General features: G+C 42.7%; 1 protein-coding gene across 1 annotated transcript in view, besides 2 other annotated features; it reads right to left on the reverse strand.

The window, feature by feature from the left end:
• Positions 1-19,034, reverse strand: part of COL17A1 (collagen type XVII alpha 1 chain) — a 54,595-nt gene extending 35,561 nt beyond the window's left edge. Inside the window, exons 1-9 of the mRNA NM_000494.4 lie at positions 18,877-19,034; positions 13,776-13,838; positions 11,696-11,740; positions 10,576-10,680; positions 9,455-9,583; positions 7,338-7,385; positions 6,364-6,399; positions 5,186-5,233; positions 3,580-3,723 (exon numbers count right to left, since the gene is read on the reverse strand). Coding sequence (NP_000485.3) covers positions 3,580-3,723; positions 5,186-5,233; positions 6,364-6,399; positions 7,338-7,385; positions 9,455-9,583; positions 10,576-10,680; positions 11,696-11,740; positions 13,776-13,827 — 607 coding nt within the window. The 5' untranslated portion in view covers positions 13,828-13,838; positions 18,877-19,034. The remainder of the gene's footprint in view (positions 1-3,579; positions 3,724-5,185; positions 5,234-6,363; positions 6,400-7,337; positions 7,386-9,454; positions 9,584-10,575; positions 10,681-11,695; positions 11,741-13,775; positions 13,839-18,876) is intronic.
• Positions 92-747: an enhancer, noted in NCBI's record as "NANOG-H3K27ac-H3K4me1 hESC enhancer chr10:105826696-105827351 (GRCh37/hg19 assembly coordinates)". NCBI's record gives its function as "activates a minimal SCP1, AML or CMV promoter by ChIP-STARR-seq in naive H9 embryonic stem cells {active_cell/tissue: H9 hESC(naive)}" and the evidence as "EXISTENCE:reporter gene assay evidence [ECO:0000049][PMID:30033119]".
• Positions 748-1,402: an enhancer, noted in NCBI's record as "H3K27ac-H3K4me1 hESC enhancer chr10:105827352-105828006 (GRCh37/hg19 assembly coordinates)". NCBI's record gives its function as "activates a minimal SCP1, AML or CMV promoter by ChIP-STARR-seq in naive and primed H9 embryonic stem cells {active_cell/tissue: H9 hESC(naive and primed)}" and the evidence as "EXISTENCE:reporter gene assay evidence [ECO:0000049][PMID:30033119]".

The raw sequence follows: 25,246 nt of genomic DNA on the forward strand, positions 1-25,246 counted from the left end.
ACCCTCTTAGAGAAGTCCCTATGGGACAGGGAGAAGTTGGATATGTAAGTGTGCCTCTAACAAGTACTAAGGTTAGGAATTTTAAATAGGAAATAAGGCCGCTCTTGGAAAATCTCCTCGGTGTAGCAAAGCAGCTAGATCAATTTTTAGGACCCAATTTTTGTACTTGGGCTAAGATGATGTCAATCATGACTATTCTGTTTATTGAGGAAGAGAGGGGAATAATTAAAAGGGCAGCCATGACCATTTGGGAAAGACAGCATCCTCTCGGGCAAGGAGTCCCGCCAGCTGAGCAGAAATTCCTAAATGCAAATCCCAGATGGAATAACAATAACCCCAAAGATCGGGCCCAAATGCAGGACCTAAGGGAACGAATAATTAAAGGGATTAAAGAGTCCACTTCAAGGACACAGAATGTCTCAAAAGCATTCGAGCTTCAACAAGTAAAAGAGGAGACTCCCTCTGCATTTCTGCAGAGGCTCAGGAATAAAAAAAAAAAAAAAAAAAAAAAATCAGGATTACATCCAGAGGACCTAGTAGGGCAAGGCCTTTTAAAGGTTAATTTTATGACTAAAAGCTGGCCTGATATTACTAAGAAACTGCAAAAAAGTTGATGGATGGAATAAAAAGCCAATTAAGGAATTAGAAGGTTTTTGCGAAAAGTAAGAAACGAATTGGAAAAAGAGAAAGAGAGAAAGCCAAAGCTGTCCATCTTGCAGACGGACAGAGGGGAGCCACGGCATGGCTCACGCTGGTGCTCAGAGAGAGAAAGAGTTAAGCTGCTGACCCTGAAGGCAAGGGAGCCGGCTGTGCAGCTGCAGGTGTGGGGGCGGCAGGAGCTGCAGAGCCGAAGCAAACAGCCGAGATAAAGGTGGACAGTGTGAGAGAGCTAATGTAAGTAAGCTGTTAACATGGCGAGTGCGCTGGCGCCCAGAGAAAGAAGAAGAAACTGAGTGTAAGGGAAAGAGAAAACAGGGATGACAGAGACAGAGAGATTAAAAAAAAAGAAAAAAGAAAATAAGCGAAAGAGAAAGAGACGGGAAAAGACAGAGATCAAAGACACAGAAGGTGAAACTGGGGAGAGACATAATGTAAAAGGAAAAAAGAGTACAAGAGGAAGAGAGAGAGACAGGGAAAGAGAGAGAGGCCATGTAAGACGGGAGATGGGGAGACAAAGGTGCAGGTGGGCAGTGGCTGCCATGGCCCTGCTGGCGGAGGGGAGTCTGAAGTTGATCTTCGGCAGGGCCCTGGTAGTGAGCACCCCACATCAGGTCAGGAATATATTAAATCAAAGAGTTGGGAGATGGTAAACTAATTCCCAGATTTTAAAATATGAAGCCATATTATTACAAAAAGATAATTTAGTCTTGACAACATGTATTTTCTTGAATCCAGCCAGCTTCTTATGAAAAGGAGAGGAGAATAAAGAGGCATCAAATCATAACTGGATATCATAGAATGTCAAACTAAAGTTAAACCAGACCTTAATATCAAACTAAAGTTAAACCACCCCATTACATAATGGGATGAGACTGTTTGTAAATGGGTCATCCCAAGTAATAAATGGTAAAAAACACAATGGCTATGCTGTCATTAATGGAAACAAATAATCCTTATGTGAAAAAGGTAGATTATCCAATAATTGGTCAGCCCAAACCTGTAAATTACATGCTCTTAACCAGGCCCTCAAGCTTCTAGAAGGCCAAGAAGGCACTGTATATACTAATTCCAAATATGCCTGTGGAATAGTACACACCTTTAAAAAGATCTGGACAGAGCGGGGCCTAATAAATAGCAGGGAGAAAGAATTTGTACATGGGGAACTGATCAAACAAGTTTTAAAAAGCCTCTTGCTTCTAGCAGAGATAGCCATAGGCAAAACTATAGAAGCTGTGGGGAACAGGCTTGCAGATAAAGCTGCTAAGCAAGCTTCCCTGGAGGAAGAAGTTAGATTGTTTAGCCTAATCCCACAGATCCCTAAGGTGATATTAAAACCCAAATTTTCTAAAAAGGAGGAGGAAGAGCTGGGCAAGATAGGGGCCACTCAAACTGAGGATGGGAGGTGGGTGCTCCCTGATGGGAGAGAAATGATAAGCAAACCCATAATGAGAAAACTGATGTCCATACTGCATAAAGGAATTCACTGGGGTCCCCAGGATATGTGTGATGCAATACTAAAAAATTATGGGTGTATAGGGATCTATACCCTTGCTAAACAAGTGTGTGGGTGTTGTGTAACCTGCCAGAGAATAAACAAAAAAGTAGTTAGAAAACAGACTACCAGAGGAAGACCTCCTGGGTTAAGGCCATTTCAAAGCATTCAAGTAGATTTTACAGAAATGCCCAAAATAGGGAGACTAAAGTATCTACTGGTAATGGTAAACCACCTCTCCGGCTGGGTGGAGGAATTCCACCTCCCAACTGCCACCGCCAGGAATGTGGTAAAAATAATCTTAAAACAAATTATACCTAGATTTGTCTTGATAAAAAATATTAATTCGGACAATGGGTATCACTTTACCTCAAGGGTGCTAAGGGGAATTATGGAAAGTTTACACATTAAATGGGATTACTATACCCCTTGGCATCCCCCTTCCTCTGGAAAAGTAGAAAGAATAAGTCAAATTCTCAAAAAGCATATTACTAAACTAATCTTTACAACTAAAATGCCTCGAATGTCTCCCAGTAGCACTCCTTAGGATTAGAACAGCCCCAAGCAAAGACTTTGGACTGTCCCCTTACAAGTTATGATATGGACTCCCATATTTAGATAGGACTACTGATCTTCCTACTATGGAAACCAAAAACCAGTTTTTAAGAAATCATATACTGGCCATATCCTCCACCCTGTCATCCTTTAGCTTAAAAGGACTTCGAACTCAAACCCCGCCTCTTGAGTTCACAGTTCACCACTTCCAGCCTGGCATCTCGGTGCTAATTAAGACTTGAAAAGAAGATAAGCCCCACCCAAGCTGCCAAGGTCCCTATCAAGTGGTCCTAACCACTGAAACGTGACAACGAACAGCTAAACGAGGGTGAACTCATTACACTCAAGGGACTGGTAAAAGAAACCCAAGAAGGAAGGGAAAAGGGCAAATGGGAAGTGTATAAATCACCTAAGGAACACTTAAAGCTAACTCTAAGGAAAACCTAGAAGAGAGCTATAAGCAAACCCCTTCATTAGGGGTGGATATGGTTAGGATTAATCCTAACACACAAAAGAAGACCTGAGTATTGGATAGGGCCCAGTACTAGGGGTGGAAAGTAGGGAATATCCAATCAATCTAATAATCAACATAACTAAAACCTCTACCCCCTAAACCATAAAATTCAATGCCTGCTGAGTCTTACATTGTGGGAATTTAGGAAACCAAAGGCAGCTGTCACAAGCAAACAAATATCTATGCCCTAAAACAGGTTGCTATTAGGGAAAGCCCTGTGCTAGCTGGAATGAGATTTGGTGGGCCCCAATTTCAAGTCTCACTTTCACTGTTCTCTGGGTCTCTGAGTCCACTCTTTGGGTTTGGATGGGTAAGTTTGTTTCTCACACTCCTCGGCAGCCTGGGCTGTCAGACTTACCCGACTGGGAGCTCGCTGTCACAATTTTGGTCTCCACAGTGCCTTTCTTGGGGATGGGGAGTGTGTTGGAGGAATTCCGGGTGGGGCTCACACTTGCCGATCGACTCCCCTTGAGCAAACGCTTAACATCATCCAATTCTGTCCCTGTGAAAGAATCCACAGACGTTTCTGTTAAGTCCAGAGTTCTTTCCTGAGTCCCTGTGCAACTGGGGGGAACATTTGTGGCATTCTGACTACTGGGGAGAATGGCATCTGCCTCACACATTGGAACTTTTTGCTTGGCTTTATAATATTCACATTTTACTAATGAATAGCACTTATCAACTTGGTACTTTGTCATATTAGCCTCAAAAATCTTCTGCGTCTCACAAGGAGGTCAAGGTGCTTGGGAGATATTTCCTAATTAGACCTCATCAAACATCACAGGAATGATTCTGTGGCTGGAAGACACTATTATCTAGGATCAGGCAGTTAGAGAACCAGGTCCCTTGAAACAGATGCTTCAACAGCAGTCTCATCCCCTGCACAGGATGCATCTGATATTGGGTCCTTGACCTTGTATGCCTGGGGCTGTCAAAAGGAATCTGTGGGCCATAACTCCTAAATATTATGCTGTGTTCACGTGTGATTTAATTTCAAGTCTATCTGGCTGATTTAATTTGTAGCAAGGTGAAAAGTGGAGCAAGCTCCCTGTGCCTCCCATACAGGAAGCAGGGAAGCAGGAGAGGTGGGAGGCACCATGCATGGGGAGTGCATGAGAGGATGCATGGGGAGTGCATGAGAGGAGACACAGGTTTGCAGGCACTGTATGCTGAAGGAACTCTCAACCCCAACTCCCTTCGCCTCACCACCCCTAAGCCTGGAAGGACTCAGGTGAGAAGGTGTCGGGCCTGGAGTCAGACTCCACAACCCTAGGTACTGAGCTCTCTGGACAAGCACCCATCTCTGTCCTGAGCCACTGACCATGTTCTTTCTTCTACTCCTTGAACATGACTGCTGTCCTAAAGTTGAGCTCATTTCAAAACGTTGTTAAATACCTCTAGCAAGAACAACAGGTATCTAACATATTCCATCGACAGAGACTGGGGGGTCTCTGACATTTGAAATAAAGTTCAAATTCTTATACTCTACTACTGACCCTTCTCTAATCTTAAACTATCCCATTATGTCCTTGCTTTGAACTGTTCCTTCGATGCCTCATGCAGGCTCATCCCTTTGAGCCGAACTGATCCACTGTTCAGTTTCCTTTCAGGTAACACCTACCCCGGGAAGTCTTCTCTGGCCTGATCTCCATGGGCTGCCGTGGAGCTGCTCCTCCCTGTTCCCTCACCACACTGAGTTGCGATGGTTGGTTGACTTACTGTCTCCCTATTAGTCTGTGAACTACTACACAGCAGGAACCACGGTTTACTCAGCGGCTTAACCCCAGCCACCTAACCCAGGGTCCAATTCACAGAAGACCCTTAAAGATGTTTTATGATTGCATGCATGTACATACATGTGTGTGCATGCATGCACACACACACGCATGCACACACACACACACACACAGCACTAGCCCTGGATTTCTGGACCCTTTCTTTTCAGCAAGATCATGACCACTTACATCGGGTGGATGGGGACGCACTCTGCAGTCGAACTCGAATTTCACTCTCTGTACAAGGGAAGAGATAGAGAAGGGTGTGAATGAAGGAGCTTAGATCACAATCCCTGACACTGAACTCCTAGCAGCAGATGGCCCTTTAGGCTGCTCTGACATTTCTGAGCTCTGGAAACAGGAAATCTAGGTGTGCCCAAGAAGAGTGCTGCTTAAAAAGGGAGACCTCCCTACCTCCAACAATTCCCCATCCTGCCAACTGCATACCTCCCAGGCAGCTGGAGATGTTCTAATAAAATTCCAGGCTGAGCAAGGAGGTTCCAGTACAATCAGCAATGGTCAATCCTTTCCCCATCATCCACCTCATGGCTGCCAGAACCAAGGTTCTCTCCTGCGTCCATGGTCTCAGGCATTGGCAAAAGATTCTAAAAGCCAGAGTGTTTACTTGCCATTTTGGCCTCTTCAGAGATGGGAGGGGCAGGAAGCTGGTAGCTAACATTATTAGTTAGCTTCAGGTGGAGAATTGGCATCTTTCAACTATCAGCCTAAAGTTGTGAGTGGTTGGCATACTCCTAACTTCCAAGTTATTGATGATAATAAGGCCCATAGGAAGTCTAGGTGGGTCATTGTGAAGAATTCTGCCTTCAGCTCAGCCCTAACATGCTGCCCCCTACCCTGCCCAAAGCTTAGCAAGGGCTGCTTCTCCCAGGACCACATTTCTCTCCTATATCATTGTCTACATGACTAGATTACAAAACTGTCATGGAGCTGTTTATCTCCTGGATGAATTTTGAAAAAAAATTTGGGGAGATTTTGCTCATCTTTTGACGTGTAAAGGCAATTAGAGCATATCTTGTTAAAGTCAGCCAGGAGACCAGAAGTGAAAGCAGATGTGGTATCTGCATCTTCAGATGATCCACAGCAAGACAAATGATGCCCCACATTGTTATCATGTGTTTTGCTTCCTGCCTCTACGTGCTTGTTAGATTACTGTCAAAAGCTACCCTTCCCCTCCCGATAGAGCCGGTGGAAGATTCCCAGGATACTCTAAGCTCCTCGAAAGCAGAAAGCATGCCTTATTTATTCTTCTGTACTCCTTACACTCCCTGGCTCAAGGCTGGACACACATTAACTTCTCAGAAAATACTTGTTGAATGAATTGGACTGAACCCAGTGACAGCACTCACCTCGTGTTTGACTCCGTCCTCTGGTTGAAGAAGATGCTGAGAAACAAAGAAATGCATTTTTAGGCATATATAAGAGGTGGCATGCTAAATACTTTTGACATGGAGGCAGATATATTTGGGGAGGGGTTACTTTCATAGTGTGTCTAAATCCAGATAGGGGCTTTTCTGTATAGCAGTTGCTTAATAAATGATGATCACTTAGCAACAGCAGAGAATGTTTTGCAATGCCCTAGTACATTTATGATGTTAAATTAGCTAAATGAATGTTAAGTTAGCTAACATTTTGAATGTTAAGTTAGCTAAGGTAATCTGTTGGGGAGCATGATCCATTTGGACTGGCTGACTACACTGATCAAATGTATCAAAAAGCTCCCAAGTCTTCCCTTTGATTTTTTATTCGAGACTGCCATGGTTTCCCCACTGTAAGCAAATACAGAAAATTATAATCACTGTATAACCAATGATCCTGGCATCAATTCATATGCACAGTGAGATTCCAAGAACATGGAACAAAAACTTAAGGCCAAGTGAAGACACAGCTTGGGGGTTCATGAAGCACACGCAGTTCCCTTGAAAGCAAGCAATAGTGGAGGTGCCGGGATGCCTGGCATTTGTGTGTTCTACTCGCTGCTCTGCTTCTTTGGGAGGCCTCTGTGCATCTCATGGAAAGAAGAATCCCTACAATTATTGCTTGGCCTTAGGGGCTTATCCATCCAAGCCTGAGCCTTATATATAGCTTACCATTTCTATAGTGCCACGAGCAAAGGCTTATGACAGCAAGTTAATGTGGCTGATAGTCCCCTTAATATGCTTCAGGATAAAAAGCAAGGGAAAAATAGGTCAGCAGGGGTCAAACTCTTTTAGAAGAATCCATTTAACTCATGAGGTCCCCTACTCCCACCACTTCATCTCCCCCAGGGATTTTCCTAGTGCCTCGTTTGACCATTTCTTTAGAAAATAAGGAGAGGACATACCAAATTCCTTCCGAGGGTACTCCGGAGAAGAGTTGCCACTGGAGCTCCCTGGAGAGGGGATGAAACACTTAGAACAAATGGCCTCTTAGGCCCATAAAGCTTCCAAAACGGGAGGTAGTGCCTGTTACTTATTTCTGGACCTCCACAGCCCTCAGTGTTTCAGGGGGGAATGAGGTATGCTCTTCAGCATGCATGTCAAAGGAGCCAGGCTCATGATGTAAAACACGACCCATCATGGCCCTGGTCGCAGCACTTTGCTCTGGTCAAGGACCTACTTCAGATGAGGCAGGGATGAACAAAGGAGAGCAGGAGGTTTTGGTTTCTTTCTTTTTTGTTCAGTTCCTCCACCGGCTTGTCCTGTGTCTGTCCTAGAGCAAGTGACCTGCCCTGATCAAGTAACCTGCCCTCAGCACCAGGAACCTCTCTGACCTTATGAGGCTTGTCCCAAACGTGGACCCAGTTAAAATGAAGGTACAAATCCCTGGTCAGGCCCGACCTCAGAAAGCACTGTGATGATGCAATCCACCTCACCTGGATTTGGGGCTTCCCAACAGCCCAGCAGCTCTTGTCCTGCAGCGGCAGGAGGGAGTCTGCTGTGCGTGTGGGATGCTAGCCCGCTGTGATCATTCACTAGAGTGTCTGGGCCTTACTCCTGCTTCTCCAACACCAGCACCAATCTCTTCTCACTGTTAAACTCCTTGGCCACCTGGCTGGTCAGTTTCCCACATAAAACTGCTTCTGCAGATCACCAGGAACTCCAGGAACCTTAGTAATGGAACTCAGGTGTCTTCTTCTACGACTCCTTCTTGACCCTGAGCACTCTCTTGTGTTGACCTCAGCATTGCTGTATGTTCCTGGTCTCCCCTTGTCCCTAAAAGACTCTTCCTCCTCTCTCTGTTCTCTGGCTTTTCTTTCTCCTTATTCCCTCCGCTTTACCTTCCTTTGCTTCCTTCAACTTTTATACTCTCTTTCTTGGCAAACTCCTTTAGTCTTCTGACTTCCTCTAACACCTCTTTGCGAATGGCTTCCACCTGGGTATCTGGGCCCTGACTTCTTCCCTGAACTCAAATCCTGCATCACCCACTGCCTGCTTGCTACCCTCGCCAGAGAGCTGGGCAAGTGGCTGTGCTTCAGGATGAATTAGCTGGATTCATCAAGTGGAGTCATCCATCTAATTCCCTGTTTCAGTTGTTGGCACCACCAAGAACCCAACCTGTGTGTGAAGCCTTCTCCTTACATTTAATCAATTGCCAAACCTGTCAATTCCACCTCAGTGATAACTTTCACTTCTAGCTCCTGACCTCCATCATTACCAACCTGGTCCCAGCCAAAATGTCCCTTCTCTGGATGACCGAGGATTTCTTTTTAACTTGTCACTGTGTTTAGTCTCTTTCTCACCAATTTTTCCAACACATGGCTTCCAGAGTTCCAGTCCTGGACCTAAAATATGATTGTTTTGCTAAAAACTCTCTGTGGCTTCCCATTGCATATGGAATAAAGTCTAAACATCTTATCCTAGCACTGAATCTGAGTCCCTCAAACCTTTTGCACGTAAGTACCACTGAATTTCCGACTTAAGCCCTGGGCTCTCCTGGCTGTCTTTGCTTATGCTGCTGCTCCCACAGCTTGGACAGTCCCATCTCTCCATCTTTGGGTATCAAACTCTTACTCGTCATGAGGACCTCGCTCAGATGTCCCCTCCTCCATAGAATTTTCCCCGATTTCCTCAGCTTAAAGTGATAATCTCCATCTACTTTATACAATTGTATTTTATCTGTCATCTTAACTTGTCTATTAGACTACAGGTCCTGAAGACAAGATCTATGTCTGATTCATTTAAGCATTCGTCAAGGCATTCTACACAGTGTTAAACGCATAGCAGGTACTGGATAAAATACTAGTTGGAAAAGTAACTAAATGGGTGAATGAATAAATAAATGAGGTAGTGAATGAATGAATGAAGTCTTCAAGTAATGGAAGTCCATAAAAGAAATGAAGGAGGAGTGGGGAGAAAGGTGAAGGGCAGACACAGGTGGCCAGCATGTAAATCTTCAAAGAATGAGTGAAGTTGCTTGGGGAAGAGAATGGTTCTCTTGTATGGTTAGTGGGACTGATACCTTCATACGCATGGCGGGTAACGTGAGTTTTCCTTTCAAAGGTTGAGCCTGGGGAGTTGGGCAGAGTGGAGGCAGGTGAGTGAGCCCTCCTGTAACTAGAGGTGGAGGCATGGCCTCGTGTGCTTCCAGCTGCAAGAGGGAAAAAGCATAAGTTCTCAGTGCTTCAGCAGAGAGGTGAACCAAATGGCTACTGTGACCCAGCTATATTAACCAAGTACACTCAGGGAGGGTCTTCGGGAGGGCACAGCTGAAAGGGGCCACCTCAGCATTCCCCCAGCTGTTCACAAATGGAAAGGTGGAATTATTGCCTGGGAACGTCCTTCCTGTGCATGGTTACCATGCATGGAAATGGAAAGGATTTGGCAGGATTTTTCTTGTAGACACTGCTTGGATGGACTAGAATATAATCCAGCGTGGAAGTGTGCCTCAACAGGTAAGGGCAGGTGTTTCTTTTGGTCAACCTGGCTGTTCTAATGTCTTGGGGCTTCCTTTTTAGTCTTACTTCCAAGTATTTTAAATGGCTTCAGGGGCTATCTGGGTGCTTCTTGTTTTTGTTTTGTTTTTGCCTTGCTTTGCTTTGTTTTGTTTTAGTTTGAAAGAGTGCTTCACTGGGAACAATGGGCCTGTGTTGGATGCTTGCCCAGTGGAATCTTGCACAGCATGGGATCACATGTCACCAGCTTCCCTTAGCACAGTAACCCAATCGTTAAGTTTCTTTCGTTGTTAATTCAAATTGTAAACCCTCAGGCGTGCACATTGTTCTCTAAAGAGATGGCTTAAAGGGAGTGATTTAGTGAGGAAATAGCTACCTACCCATGAAGTCTTAATTAATGATAGTTATTTATATTGTGGACTTAATGAAAATGGATCTGATTTTAAGTAGGCTTCAAATGCTGATGATTTATAATTTGCACCCCCGGTCTCCAGCCCTGCTGCCCAATAGCTGTGTGTTATTTAGATAACTCTCAGGGGGATTTGGAATGGATGACAGGTGATTGTAATTGTCCCTTTTGTGCACTGATTCAAAATTGTGTCTGCCCTGTGTCCTGTGTAGGACTTTCTTGGTGTCTCTCTCTTTGTCACCCATTCTTCCCTGACCTCTTGCACTAGTGGGCACTCACTTGAGTTTATGTAGCCGCTGCTGCCATGAGTCAGGCTTTGTTTCTCCAGCCGGCTCCCTCCACCAAGAGAGGCTGTTTTAGCATAGCCATTGCTGGTCCCGCCTTCTGCCAGGAACAAAAGCAGGTGATAATTTCAGGGTGGAGTCAGGCCAGAGGATCCCCTGGTCCCCCACCCTGTGGAAGGCTTCCCTGGTTTTTCACCAGGACCTTCTTAGTTTGGGGTTCCTTTCCCACCTACATTATAAGATGCAAGCTGCCATGCTCCAGTTTCGTTGGTTTTTTGTTTTGTTTTGTTTTGTTTTGTTTTGTTTTGTTTTATACAAATATCTAGAGTGAGTATTCCACCTGATTTAAAAGAAAAGTCTCCTGGGTGGAATATAGCAAGTTGCATATTAGGAAATTTTAAATAGTAGAAAAGGCTGAGCGATGAAAGCTCCTTGAGTCCAGGACCTGGTTGGGCTTGCTTTTTCTGAGTGCCTGGTCAGTGCCCAGGCATGGCAGCCACTAGAAGTGCTGGAGGGGCGTGTGGCAGCTCTGTGTTGCTGGTGTTCCACCTGGCAGCCCATCACTGCTCCGACTTCACCTGCTGGTGGGTGGGCTCTCCCCATCCCCAGGGAACTAGGCTCCCTGGAGGCGGGGGCAGGGGGTAGCTTTTGGGCTCAGATCAATATTACAGGAGTGATAGGAGCTCCTGGAAAAAAAAGTAGCCTCAACCAGAAGCTTGACTGGTAGCCCCCAATCCTTGTTCAGGTTAGATCAGATATCCAATATTTTAGCATCTGGAATAGGCAAATCTACAGAGACAGTAGATTTGTGGTTTCCAGGGGCTGAGGAGAGAGGAGGGAGAATGAGGAATGACTGCTAATGGTCACTTCTTTTTGTGGAGCCATGGAAATCTTCTAAAATTGGACTGTAACCATGGCTGCATAACTTGGTAAATATACTAGCAATCACTGAATTATACACTTCAAACTGGCGAATTCTGTTGTATAGAAATTAATGTCAATATAGCTGTTAAAAAAGATGTCAAAAATTTTGGAGCTCCCATGGAAAAGGTTACAGGTGTGGGGCCCTTCAAATGTGACCTACTGAAAAGAAAGCTATTGAGGTAGTTACTTACTTGGTGGTAAGGATGTAAGTCTTGTGGTTACTGTTTCAGTGACAACTAGAAAAAGACAAAGAAAAGATGAGTTCTTATGTAATGCACTGACACCTCTGGATCTTGGCAAGGTCTAAGCTCTGTCACAGGCTAAGCATATTAAATTAGGTTCGACATTGATTTTTCTATCCTTGTGCTTTAAGGTGTGTGATCTGACCCACTGTGCAAAAAGATATGAGCAACAACAATGGGTTTCATATGCTTGGAAAATAAGTTTATATCTCTTTGGAGCCAAAAGAAGTTATGCACTGCGTTTGAAACATGAGTTGTTTTGCTGTTGATGTCTCTCCTTGGACAATTAGATCCAGTCCAGGCCTGGTCTGAGGTTGAAGGAGGACCAGGCCCTCTTGTCTCAAGTCACTCCGTTTCTCTGCATTTCTCCTTCCCCATGGTCTCTCAGTTCAGCTGAGACCAACACCCTAGCTGACTTCACTGTGTACTTCTTCATGAATTTGGAGGTGTTTAAGAACATTATGTTTCGTTCTAATGTCTTCAGGGCAACCCCTGAATGTGGGGAGTTGTGGGAAGGAAGGGTGCTCCTGGTAAGTCACATTTGGGGTTTGGCAAAATCAGTGATCCAGGCACATCACAGACAGACTTGAAGAACCAGTCCCTTGGCCTCTGAAATTTAGTTCCTGTAGGTCTGAGAGATGGTGAATCCATCACTCATGCTCTGACTGTGGCCCTCAGCACTACCTCCGTCTCTGGTGGGTATACAGAAGACCCTACCTATCTGGGGCTTTTGTTCTTTGATATCAGGTTTCCAGTGTGCTTGTATGCATGCATGCATGTGTGTATGTGTGCATGTATGTGTGTGTGTGTGTGGCATGCATGGGCACATACGTGTGGGGAAGGTGGTGAAAGGAGAAAAGAGTAAAGGAAGATGGTGCAGGATCATTTTGTGCTACTTTCAGCTGTGCCGCTGACACCTGCTCCATCCCACATGACTCTCATTCACACTGTCCTTCTTCATACTGCATTTTGCTAATTAGTTTGGTTGTCCTAGCAAGAAGATGCGGTTATGGACATGCCAGAAACAGTACTTAATGCATAAAAGGAAATGTTGGCTGGGCGCAGTGGCTCACGCCTGTAATCCCAACACTTTGGGAGGCCGAGGCGGGCAGATCACGAGGTCAGGAGTTTGAGACCAGCCTGGCCAACATAGTGAAACCCCGTCTCTACTAAAAACACAAAAAATTAGCTGGGTGTGGTGGTGGGCACCTGTAATCCCAGCTGCTCGGGAGGCTGAGACAGGAGAATGGCTTGAACCTGGGAGGTGGAGGTTGCAGTGAGCCAAGATTACGCCACTGCACTCCAGCCTGGGCAACAGAGCAAGACTCCGTCTCAAAAAAAAAAAAAAAGGAAATGTTTTTGTAGAGTGCAGTGGCAGCTTGATTTGAATAATAGTCCTTCAGCTTTCATTGTATAGAACCTCTCATTGTATAGACCTTTGGGATTCTTTGACACATAAAAGTGAATTATTTCCTAACTAAAACTTTCAAGTCTATGGAGCCAGAATTTTTTTTTTATTGGAGATATATGAAAGTCACAGAATAAGTGAAAGAGTTTCCTGACTTAGAGTTGGTAGGAGGAGAGTTTAAATGTTTCTGAATTTATTATTTGGGCAGTTCCACAAAATAAATTTATTTGTTTTCAATTTTCAGCGTAGAGGTCAACTATGATACAATAACTAGGATGTTATTCGTTTAGATTTCTGTTGCCCTGTACCCCTAAATTTGGAAATGATAAAATAAACTATGGTGAATTCATTTAGCAGAATCCTATCCCATCATTAAAAATGAGGGTTATAAATACTGTACATGGAAATGACAACCTTCATCATTCAAGAAAAAGCAGGATATCTTTTGACATAAAAATCAACAAGAGCTGTCTTATGAGAAGGATTAAAGTCCATTTAGGAACACACTTAAACATGATACAGTGGTTGTGGTAGAATTATTAATGAATTACTTATTCTGTTTCCAAATTTTTATTACTTTCATAATAAAACACATAAATTAAAAAATTCTGATGCTCTTACTTCTCTCAGTGACTTCAGTTCCATCTCGTTTGTTTTTCTTGGTTACATCCATACCATAGCCACCTGCAGGAAAAATCAGAAACCATGATAGTCATACTTATCATTGTTTTTAGTAATTATAGGTCCCCACTGTTGAAGCTGATAACCAAAAACATGATTTCAAGAATTTAAACCATAATTCTTTCACGTGAATATTTTTTATGAGTCATTCCCATTTCTTGTAACAGGTATAATAGAGGTTAATTTAATTGTTCCACTTTGGATTCTATTTCTTTGTGCTGGGATCTTGTTTTTCAGTGTCTAGTTGATCAGCCTGCCCCCTGCTGAGCATCAAGAGGCTTACATAGCAGATCAGGTGTCCTGACCTTTGTTTGACTATAAAACCTCCATTCTTTTCCATGGTAATAAATAGCTGAAGGGGATCTGTCAAGGTACTTAGTGCTATCAACTAATTCATTTTAATGTCTCCCATAATGTTCAATGTTCTTTATGGAACTCTATGCATATGAGACATTCATGCTTCATTATTTAAGAGTCTGGAGGTAAGAATGGCACTTGATGGATTTAAATCAGGATAAAAATAATTATATTTGTCGTACTTGTATGGAACTTTACTCTTCTCAAAGTATGAAACATTCACTATAATCGGCTCTCATGTGCTTATCTGCAGACATAAGTATGAAAAACAGTTCAAGAAAGCCTGTAAAATCTATAGAAGCATGTAGGAAAATACATATTTGTATTTTTTATATTCTCCCTTCATTCTTACTCTGCTTCTGAAAAAGAAAACCAGTGCAATCTTGTCCACTGTGTCCCTCAGCATGGATGGTATGAGGCAGGGCTGTTGCCAAACGGTGGTGGGGATGAAAGCTCAAGTCTTAAACACACAGGAATGCACAGCAAGGGTCCCGTCCCAACTGGGCTCTTCTCTTCTTGCTGTGCTGCCTGGCCCCAGGTTCTGAAAGGACCTGAAATCTGACTTACCCTGTGGTTCTCTCCCTTCCTCTAACTTTCTCTTCCTTCTAGTTTATTTTTTGGTTGTAGTTGGAACTGGGTTCTAGAATGCTGAGGCACACTGCTTTTGCCAGGTGCCCCTTGCTTGAAGAGCTCTCCTTCCAGTCTCTGCCTAGTGCCTTCAGGCTCGACTTACCCAGTAGGCAAAGTGGGCACAGTGCCTAGGCCCACAGCACATTTTGGGGCTCACAAAATGTTTACTTTTAACATCAGAAGGAAAAATAATCAGAATCTAATCAGGATTATGTCCTTCTTTATACCAGTGCAGTTGTAAAATAGAATTTTAAAAAGTTTTTTGATGGAGGAAGGGGCCTACAAAGGCAAAAGTGTCTAGGGACCGTGAAAGTCATACTGTGGCTCTGGGTGACTTCCCTGATGGAAACCAAGACCAAATGAGACCAGCTGATCAACGATCTGGTGGAGTAACCAAGATTCGTACACTTAGCTTCAGGCCCTAGTAAATGTGCCAACTTCTTGCTCGTTGGTGTTTTTCAAACACAGCTCGAGGCAAGGAATGAGGCACAATGGAAAAAATCCTAGCTGGATCTGAGAAGCCAAAGAATGTCTTTATAGGTATGTTTCCTGGAGCCCAGAGGAGGGGCTTCATACACAGTTTAACAAAGGAGTCTAGCCTCATTACAAGGACAAATCTGACCAGTGAATCTGTCTGCATTCCAGCTATAACCTATATGACTTATGTCATGCAAACCTACGTGCAACTGGACACCTTTGCAATCCTTTGTTTAAGCATCAGTTTGATACCTCTGAAAGCCTTCTCTGACTTTCTTTTAAAAAAATAGGTAATAAGCTGTGGATCAGGAGGCATTTGGGGAGATTAAACCTTTAAATGCGCCTGGCAGTCAGTGGGGAGGTGACTAGCTTTCTAGGATGGTACCTGAACTGATATGAAATATTATCCTGAAATGAACTGTTTATAACAATCCACGGAAACTTTTACTTCCTACAAGTTATTGCTTACTTTGATCTTTCAGTGAAAGTTGCTGCTGACAGCTATACATTTGGGATTGGCCGGAAGGGTTCGACTTGCAGCCATTTAGGCAGATGGATCATGACTCTGTTTGCTAAGAATACAGTCTCCAGGCAGCAAACCTGGAAAGTTTTGCTTGTTCTTTCTTTATCCAAAACATAGCAGGCATTTCTAGGCCCTCCATCTTTTCCCTGAATCCCAATGACAAAGCCTTGACTTCTGCAGTAAAATGCTAAGGATTCCCCAACTTCCAGAGGGCACGAAGTGATGACCTACTTAGAAATCAGATGCCCTCCTTCAGGGCCTGGGAGCTCCTCATTGGAAGGTACTTTGTGGATATAACCTGCTCTAGGCAGGTACAGGTAGATGCCTCTCTCTCAATCTGAAGCCACCCCAATGTCTGTGTGTTCCACAGCCAATCTGAGGTGCCAGGTACGTGTTGGGAGACTGATTCCTTTAAACGAAATATAAGAGGAAACTTTCTATAAGTGAGTTATATTAAATGGAGAGTGATGGCGTGGGGCACAAGCCTGGACTAGGATCTTCCCATGGGACCTACAGTATATTCCCAGGACTTCTTTTTTACACATTTTAAGTGCTGATAGTTTTTAAAAGTGTAACGTTAGGAAAAGGAACGTTTCCTGCCCAGGTACATGCCTGAGCCTGCCTATCCTAGCAGGATTCACCAGTGTGTTCGTCTTCCAAAAGTCCTACTTAATGGAAGCACTGTCAAATAACATAATTTTTAACTTCTCAGATATTTGGGCCACTTCACTAGAACTAAGGATGAGCAGATCATTCAAGCTCTCAATTCCAAAATTATACTAATTTCCATCCATAGTTCTAAAGGGTTGCTTTGTGGCTATTTTATAGCTAATGTTTTTGTGAAGGTGTAAAAATGATCCCATGTCACTTTTCTAGGCAAGAAGACACAATTTTAAATCATTTTTCTACTTTTATGAGTTTTTTCCTTTCCCCTTTATTTAAATGATGTCACGTCTACCTAAAACTATTCAGCCGATGCTGTCTAACATACACACACACACAAGGACAAACCACTGTTAGTGACAGTGAACCATCACGTTAACTGTTTACCATCACATTTGGGTTTAAACCATCACATTATCTTATTCTAATGACACATGAAACACTTTGTTCTTGATACAACAAAGAGAATGAAGAAGCTAAGTATTTTTCTCTTTATTTTTTGTTTTAGGAACAAATGTTCCTATACTCTGCTAATGAATTGCAAGTATTTTTATAGCTTCTATTACTCCATTCTCTATACACTTTAAATTTTAAAACAAAACAACAACAAAATTGCCAAAGTATTAGAAAACCATCCACTGGCTATTGACCTGATAACACAGAAGGGCCCAGCAGTTTGATGCCAGGAAAGCCAATGCCCTGGAATTGAATATCTTGGAGGCTTTGTCTCTGTAACACCCCAGAGATGGGTTTGCTGCTTGCTACATTTGGTATCCTGGATTTTCATGACTGGGAGCAGGTGGGATAGGGCACCAGCTTTGTGATTATGCTGGTTTGTTTACAGTTGTGTCCTGCCACTGTTAATAATGGCAAATGAAACAAACAATGTAAACACAGACTTCTTTTTGTTTTTCATAATCTGAGAAGGTGGTTAGTTCTTAGGTCAGGTCAGTTTCACCAATCTAAGGAGTTTTTTTCCTATTTTTTTTTTTTTTTGAGACGGAGTCTTGCTGTGTTGCCCAGGTGGGAGTGCAGTGGCACAACCTTGGCCCACTGCAACCTCTGCCTCCTGGGTTCAAGCAATTCTCCTGCCTCAGCCTCACAAGTAGCTGGGGTTACAGGCATGCACCGCCACACCCAGCTAATTTTTGTATTTTTGTATTTTTAGTAGAGATGGGGTTAGTATAATATGAGTGTGCACCACTACGCACACCACTATGCTTGGCTAATTTTGTATTTTTTGTAGAGTCAGGGTTTTGCCATGTTACCCAGGCTGGTAAGTTTCTATGCAAGCTTGAAGCAGAGCTGTTCACTTTAATTGTTCCTGTGTAAACTCTGATCAGACTCATGTGGGTGTTTTGCAGGGCCTAAGAGTAAAGCAGGACACCTCTGAATCTCTGGAGTGAGTCTGTGTGGGGATAGACATCTGTCTTAGGTTAGTTCTGACAGATCTGTGCCTTAGCTCTAAGAGAGAACATATGGAGGTAAGAAGAAACTATTCTGCTTTTCAAATAAATACCTTTTAAAAATCTTGCTACGTTTTACAAGTCCACTATTAGACTACTGATTAACTACTTCTCAAAAGAAGGAATGTGCCAGAGGTTTTGCCTCCACTTCAAAAAGTAAAGTGATAATTTGTCAGTTACCAGTTAACGTCATCCACTTAGGTATCTAAACTGGTAATTCTCATCTCAAAGTGAATTTTTTTGGCAGGAGGAAACCCAAGTTGACTCGTAAGAGTATATATACGGGAAACAATTTTCTTCCTTTTTTTATTCCTCTAAGTTTGATCCTGCAAAATTTCTGAATTAATCAGATCATTTCAAAGATCCTACTTTTCTTTAGATTAGAGGTAATTTTACAGCATGGTAAACAGCAATGTTTACCATGTATGGCTTAATCAGAGAGGCCCAGTCAGCACAGGGACTGTTTCTAGAAGGCCCCCTTACCTATACTTTAACTTCACCCCTGAGTTGTTCTCTTCGTCCAGTGGAGAGAGAGACAGAGGGAAGAGGAGAGCAAGATAGCGAGAGAGGAAACTGAGATTGGGAGAGAAGGAATTATAAGCCCGTATCATATTCTAAATAAAACAACACAAGTCATTTTACAATGCTGAAAACAATGCAGAAAGGTCTTGCCTCTAAAGCCCGCTATATTTTAACCAGCCTTCAGCCTTCTCCTTTTCCCCACTTATTTCCTTTGAAAGACCTACCCTAAGCAGAATGCATACACCAAAGTCATCTTTTATAACCAATTGATCACTTTAACCAGAATGCTAGAAACTACAGAACTTCATCTTCTTTTCTCCAATAAACATTTAATTTCTAAATGGCAAACCTTAAATCAAAGTCTCAGAGAAAAGGAGAAAGGTCAGTCTTCCTGTTTACTTACCTGGTTTGAGGTTTTGAAGGAATTGGAAACAACTTTGAATAAATCCCCCTCTCTCTTTCTTCTCCTGATGTTTTCTTCTAGAAATTTGCAGTGCTCACTTTTTTTTTATCCAGACCCAGCCAAGGTGTGTTAAAGCTGAGTGATCTTTCAAAAATGTTCACTTTTCTTTCTCTCCACCTTGTTTCTTTCAACTCTTTGCTTCCAAACATGTCCTGACAAAGGTGTGTCATGGTTTACAGCGTTACTCCACCCTTCCAATTATCTGACACTTGCTGGATTTAAAAAAAAAATCTGCCTCCAGGAATCAAACTTTACTGGAGGCAGAAAGCTTCTCCTTCCAGCTTAGGTAGATTAACTATTTATAAGGCCCATGGGGAAAAGGAAACAAAGGACCAGCATAAAGGAAATGCTTTTTTATTGCCTACCTTCTACAGCTGGAGAACTGCCACAACTTTGTGGCAGTACCCTTCCTCAGTGCCATGGGTACTGGAATCCCACTGCATGATTCATGAGTCTAGGCACGTGGATGGGCTCATGGATGAGCATGGTCTAGGCACATGGATGGCCTGTGGTCATACTGCCTGAGCCCTAGAAAAACTGAAGTTGGCAGGATTTATATTCAAGATCTGTTTCCCCTATAGATGTCTTCGTCCTCTGTTCCTGTGTCCTGTGTCCTTTGTCTTGTTTCCCCTATAGATGTCTTTGTCCTCTTTCCCCTCTTGTGACTCAAGCCAGGTCAAGCCCATCTGGAGAAAATAGTTGGTGAACTAATTCATAATATGCTAATGACTGAATGTACTGAGCAATTGGTGGGGTAGGGGTTCGTTTTACAAAAGAGGCAACCAGATATAGTGATGCTGACCTAAAAGAGTGACATGTTAGTGATGGAATTTTAGGCATTTAGCCACCTAATAATGGAGAGAGGTGCTGTTGGGAAGGGATAAGGACCTTCTTGTCCTTCAAATCAGGTGACCGCATAGTCTCCATACACCTAAAGACATGTGTGGGCTCCCAGATGTCCTGCAACTCCAAGTACATCCTGGGGACCTTTAGATTTCCCTAGAGGGTCAACTTGCATCAATCAGGATAATTCTTATGAATACCTGGATAGCATCTGGCTTCCCAGGGGGCCTAAAGACTAGCTTGAGACACTTGGTGTTGGTAAAATGGGAAGTCTGAACCTGGAACTCACTCAGGCAGTCCTTTGAGGCCATAGCACATTCCTGGGACCCAGCATCACACTGGGATTCCCAGTTCTGAGGCATTATCCTAAGATACTGGAGGGGAGCAGTGGGGCCCTTACAGCATAGCACCGATGTGCAACTGCACCTTGCTATTGTGGGCACTGCATCCCATGGAAGGGTAGCAGACCACAACAACAGCTGTGGGGCTCTTGCTCCTAAGCTGCCCATATTCCACACTGGAGTCGTGCATTTCAGAACCCTTTCAATTATGCAGAATTTGACACTTGCTTTGTAGGATGTTCTTGCCTTCCCCAAATAAATACTCAATATGTCTTCCGTCAGTTTCATAGTAGAAGAACACTGAAGAACCCAGAACACACAGAGCTTTCAGCATAAAATAGACATGCCCCTGCATCATTTATTTCTTTATTCATGAATTCAAGAATTAAACAAAAATATATTGGCTCCTGCTTGGAGCCAGACATTAAACTATGTGCTAAGAGTTTGGTGGTGAAATATGAACATAGTCCCTCTGCTTATGGAGTTCACAGTCTAATGGAGGAAGACAGGCCTTACATAATGTATTAGTCGGTGAGGGTTCCCATAACAAAATACGACGGACTGGGTGGCTTAAACAACACAAATTTATTTTTTCACAGTTCTGTGGGCCAGAAGTTCAAGATCAATGTGTCAGGAGGTTTGATTTCTCCTGAGACCCCCCTCTCCTTGGCTTGCAGATGGCCGCCTTCTTGCAGTATCCTCACATGGCCTTTCTCTGTGCATGCACATCCCTGATGTCTCTCTCTGTGTGTCCTCATCTCCTCTTCTTAAAGGACACAGTCAGATTGAATTAGAGTCCACCCTGATGGGCTCCTTTTTTACTTAAATTTAACTACTTCTTTAAAGACCCTATCTTCAAATAAATTCACTGAGGTACTAATGGCTAGGGCTTCACATATGAATTTTGGAGGGACATTATTCAGCCTATAACAGTTACGTACAATATATAATTGCAGATTATATATATATATATATTATAAGAGCAACTGCAAGAATATGATAACTATTATAAAGAAAGCATACTGACTTGAGGCCAGGAGTTCAAGACAAGCCTGGGCAGCATAGCAAGACCTTGTCTCTACTAAAAAAAAAAAAATAGCTGAGTATGATGGCATGTACCTGCAGTCCCAGTTACTCGGGTGGTTGAGAAAGGAGGATTGCATGAGCCTAGCAGTTCAAGGTTACAGTAAGCTATAATGGCGCCAGTGCACTCTAGCCTGGGTGACAGAGCAAGATCAGAAAGAAAGAGTACTGGCTACTGTGAGAGCGTAAGAAGAGACATAATCTTGGAGAGGGGTGTTAGGAAAAGTCCTGCTATATAAGTGATACATGAAGGTTGAAAAGAGATCACACAGGTGAAGGGCAGGGTGGAGAGTGTTCTACTATCTAGATGGGGCAAGAGTCTCTGAGAAGGCTCTCAGGTGGAAGCTGCACGGTGAGTTGGGGGAAGAGTGATGAGGCCAATTTGCTCAAAAGCATCAAGTGAAGGGAGGCAGGCAGCGGGCGAGAGGCTGGCAAGGGAGGCAGGACTAGATCACACAGGGCCTCACAGGCTGTGGAGGGTCATGTTTTGGGTTATGTGGCAAATGTTAAGTTGACATTAAGGAGCAACTCCCTACAGGCACTGTGTGGGTGTTCGGATTATTGATCCCAGGAAAGAAGAACGACTGCAACTAATGCTTTCTAGAACTACTGTAAGCCAGATTTTTTACATCCATTCTCTAACACAATCCCGACAACGACTCCGAGAGGTGTGTACCATTATTACCTTCATTTTATACCTGAGAAAAGTAAAGTTTGAGAGGCTGAGTAACAGGCCAAGGGTCTTCCATCTCATAAGTGGCAGAGTCTAATAGATTCCACTTGACTCTTGGACCTTCATTTCCCACTGCCTTGTGTATTATTAAAATTTAAGTCTGCCCATAGCTTTCAACTGAAAGAAAATAGGCAATATTAGAACAGATCAGGCTGAGGGCAAATTACAACTAAAAAAAACCCCAAACCATCTGAACAGTGGGGATGTTTTCAGTTAACAGCAGTATGGTATTGGAATAACTTATTGATAGTTTTAGATAGAAATCTATTTATAGAACTCAGCAACCACAGACCAATCAATTTTTCAACTATAACAACTATATAAAACCAAACACACAGGCCAGGTATTGTGGCTTATGCCTATAATCCCAGCACTCTGGGACGCCAAGGCAGGAGGATCTCTTGAGGCCAGGAGTCTAAGAGTAGCCTGGGCAACATAGTGAGACCCCCATCTCTACAAATAAAAATAAATTAAAAAATAAAATAAAGCTAACATGCTAAGCAACCATCAGAATCAGCATGGATGGTATTTTCCTACCCTTGGGTTCCTATAAAAATATTGGTATTCTCCAGGTACAATAGAACAGTCAGATCTATAACAGATAACCCCCAAAGTTAATTAGTCAAGGATGCTCTAAGCTAACTCAACAGCTAATAAGACTGCATGTCTGTGTGTGCATGTGCAGGTTCTCACATATTCAGATGTGCATGTGTGAGTAGTGTTTACAGAGTCCTATATTAGGTATTTTGGGGGAGAAGAAAAAAGAATTCAAGTACTCACATTCTAGTTATTCAATGTTCTTAGATTATTGTACTTGGCAAATCTGTGAGTAAGACATGGTACATACAGTGAAAGAAACTTCATTTAACATTTATGTATCAAGTTCCTACCATATGCCTGGTAGTAAGGGAGCTGTCTTTTAAATGTTTTTAAATTAGCCAGAAAACAACAAAATTCTTGCCAAAATGAAGAAGCAAAGAGTCAGCTTTAGGAAATAGAAGTGACTAAGACACTGGAAAGGTGTTTTTTGCTCTCTGACTGCATTTGGAGCTGTGTTAATGAGTCACATTAATCCATTTTTGATGGACTAGAAAGTCCCTTAAAAGGCAACCTGGAAAAATAGTTATACTTCCAAAATTATCTACTGACTTTTAAATAGGCTGGGGAGAAAGAGTGTCTTTTCACGTGTGGCCCAGATTGGCACCAAGTGACCAGACGCATCACTCTCTGAGCAGCGTGAGTACAGGCGGACTCTGCTTTATGTGACTGATGTGTTTCTGAAAAGGGATTTGTTTTTGGTGACCAGAGTGAGTGCTTTTGCCAAGTGACTGTTCACTACCTTATGAATCTTTGTAGATGCATATTTTCTTTATGTGTTTGGTTTAAAGGGGTGTACCCAATAGGTGGATTTCTACCTATTCTATGACTCTTTTCTCATAAAAACAGTATCACATGATAGTGCCATGATGTGCTTATGATACTTTCACGAGGTATCTTATAGCTTTGGGACACATTTTGCCCTCCATTCTCAAGAGACAATAAGAAATAAAGTTCTCTGAAAAGGAGGTGAGGGAAAATAATTTTAAATTTACTGAGGTAATTCCAGTATCTACAATTGTTGATTCAGCTCTTTTGTTGGACAGTAAATCCACTGATTTTTTTTTAAAAAAACCAATTCTCACATATTAAATAAAAATAATACAACAATTATTTGTTAGTTGCCTACTACTGTTCTAAGACTGGAAGACCATCTTCCGGCTTGGCTTCTTTGCTTAGCATGTGCTACTAGATAAGACTTCTCTATACACAATTATGACAACATCATATGTCATGGTGTGTGGAATTGTTTGGCTTTTGGAAGGACATAGCTAAGTAGTACGAACTCCTGCCCTTCCCATGTGGGCTTCTTGAATTATCGCCAGTTGTGTTCCTTGCTGCCTTGATTATAATAACAAAGCACCCTGGTTTCCTTTTCTTCCATTCCCAACTTCAGATCTATTCACTCATTTTTCCATTCAAAACTCATACATATTTGTTGAGTGAGTGGACTACCACCTATGGAGTGTCTATCATGAGCAAGGCATGAGGTGTAGAAATACAACTGAGGGTGAGATATAAAACCTGCCTTCCAGTAATTTACAACACAAAAAGAAAAAATATATGAACACAGTCACCACATATACCAATAATTACAACATACAGAAGAATATAAACCACAAGAGAACAGTTAAGAACTATGAAAATTCACTCTCAGCTGTGAACATCAGCCAAAGCTTCGCAAAAGAGGTGTCCTTTGAGCTGGGCCTTAAAGGATCGGGGGTGGTGAGAAGCCAAGGCTGAAGAAGATATTTCAAGCACAGAATCCAGCACGAGAGGTACAGATGCAGGAAAGAGGAAGGCTTAGGTGGAGAGTGGTGGAGCATAGTGTGAGAAAGGAGAGAAGATGAGGAGAGGTGGGAAGGGTAGGATGCACCTACCCTTCAGAGAAAGTCTGAAGTGCCAGTCTGCGGCATGTCAGTGTCATTCTGAGGGTGAGGGGGAGTTGCCGAAGGTTCAGCTGGGCTGAACAAAGATAAATTTGGTGATAGTGTAGACAGTGGAGTAGAACAGAAAGAGGCAAGATAGACTGATGGGGACGCTCTGGCAGTAGTTTAGTGAAGAGCCTGAGCTTTAGCAAGGCAAGGATGAAAAAGAAAAAGGAACTGAGCAGCGCAAGATCAGCAAGGTTGGACAGAGACAGTGATATTTAGTGGTTGCTGTTAAGATGAGGGAGCCTGCAGGGCCTAGGATGTTGCTGAGATTTTTCCAAGCCAACCACTGACTACAGCACTTCTTTCCCCTTCTCTGCCAAGTTACCTTTCTCAAAAGTCCCCATGTTAGAGCTTACCTTCTGGTGGAGGATATAAAAACAATAACAACAACAAAAAGTTTATTCGCTTTGGTTTGCACTCTTCCCTGCTCCCATTTTGTCCTGTGTTCACCACCTAACGTATTATCAATGGGAGATGTGTAAAAAAAAAAAGGTTTCCGTTCTCTGGACTTGAAGAACTTAGATATTAAGACTATAGGATTATATTAGAATATATCACCTATCGATGATGCATTTAATTAAAGCTACCATAGGTTATTTTTAACACATGGCCTACTAAAGTATCTGTAACTTATGTCTAATAATTTAACAATTATAAATTAGCTTTATCAAAAGACAAAAATGAGCCAAAGAAAAATCTGTGAAGTGTTAGCCTTAGCAGTTGTTCCCCTTTTGCTAGAGTTTGAATATATCCCCCAAAGTTCATGTGTTGGAAACTTA

This window comes from Homo sapiens, chromosome 10 (assembly GCF_000001405.40).
Source record: "Homo sapiens chromosome 10, GRCh38.p14 Primary Assembly".
Lineage (NCBI taxonomy): Eukaryota > Metazoa > Chordata > Mammalia > Primates > Hominidae > Homo > Homo sapiens.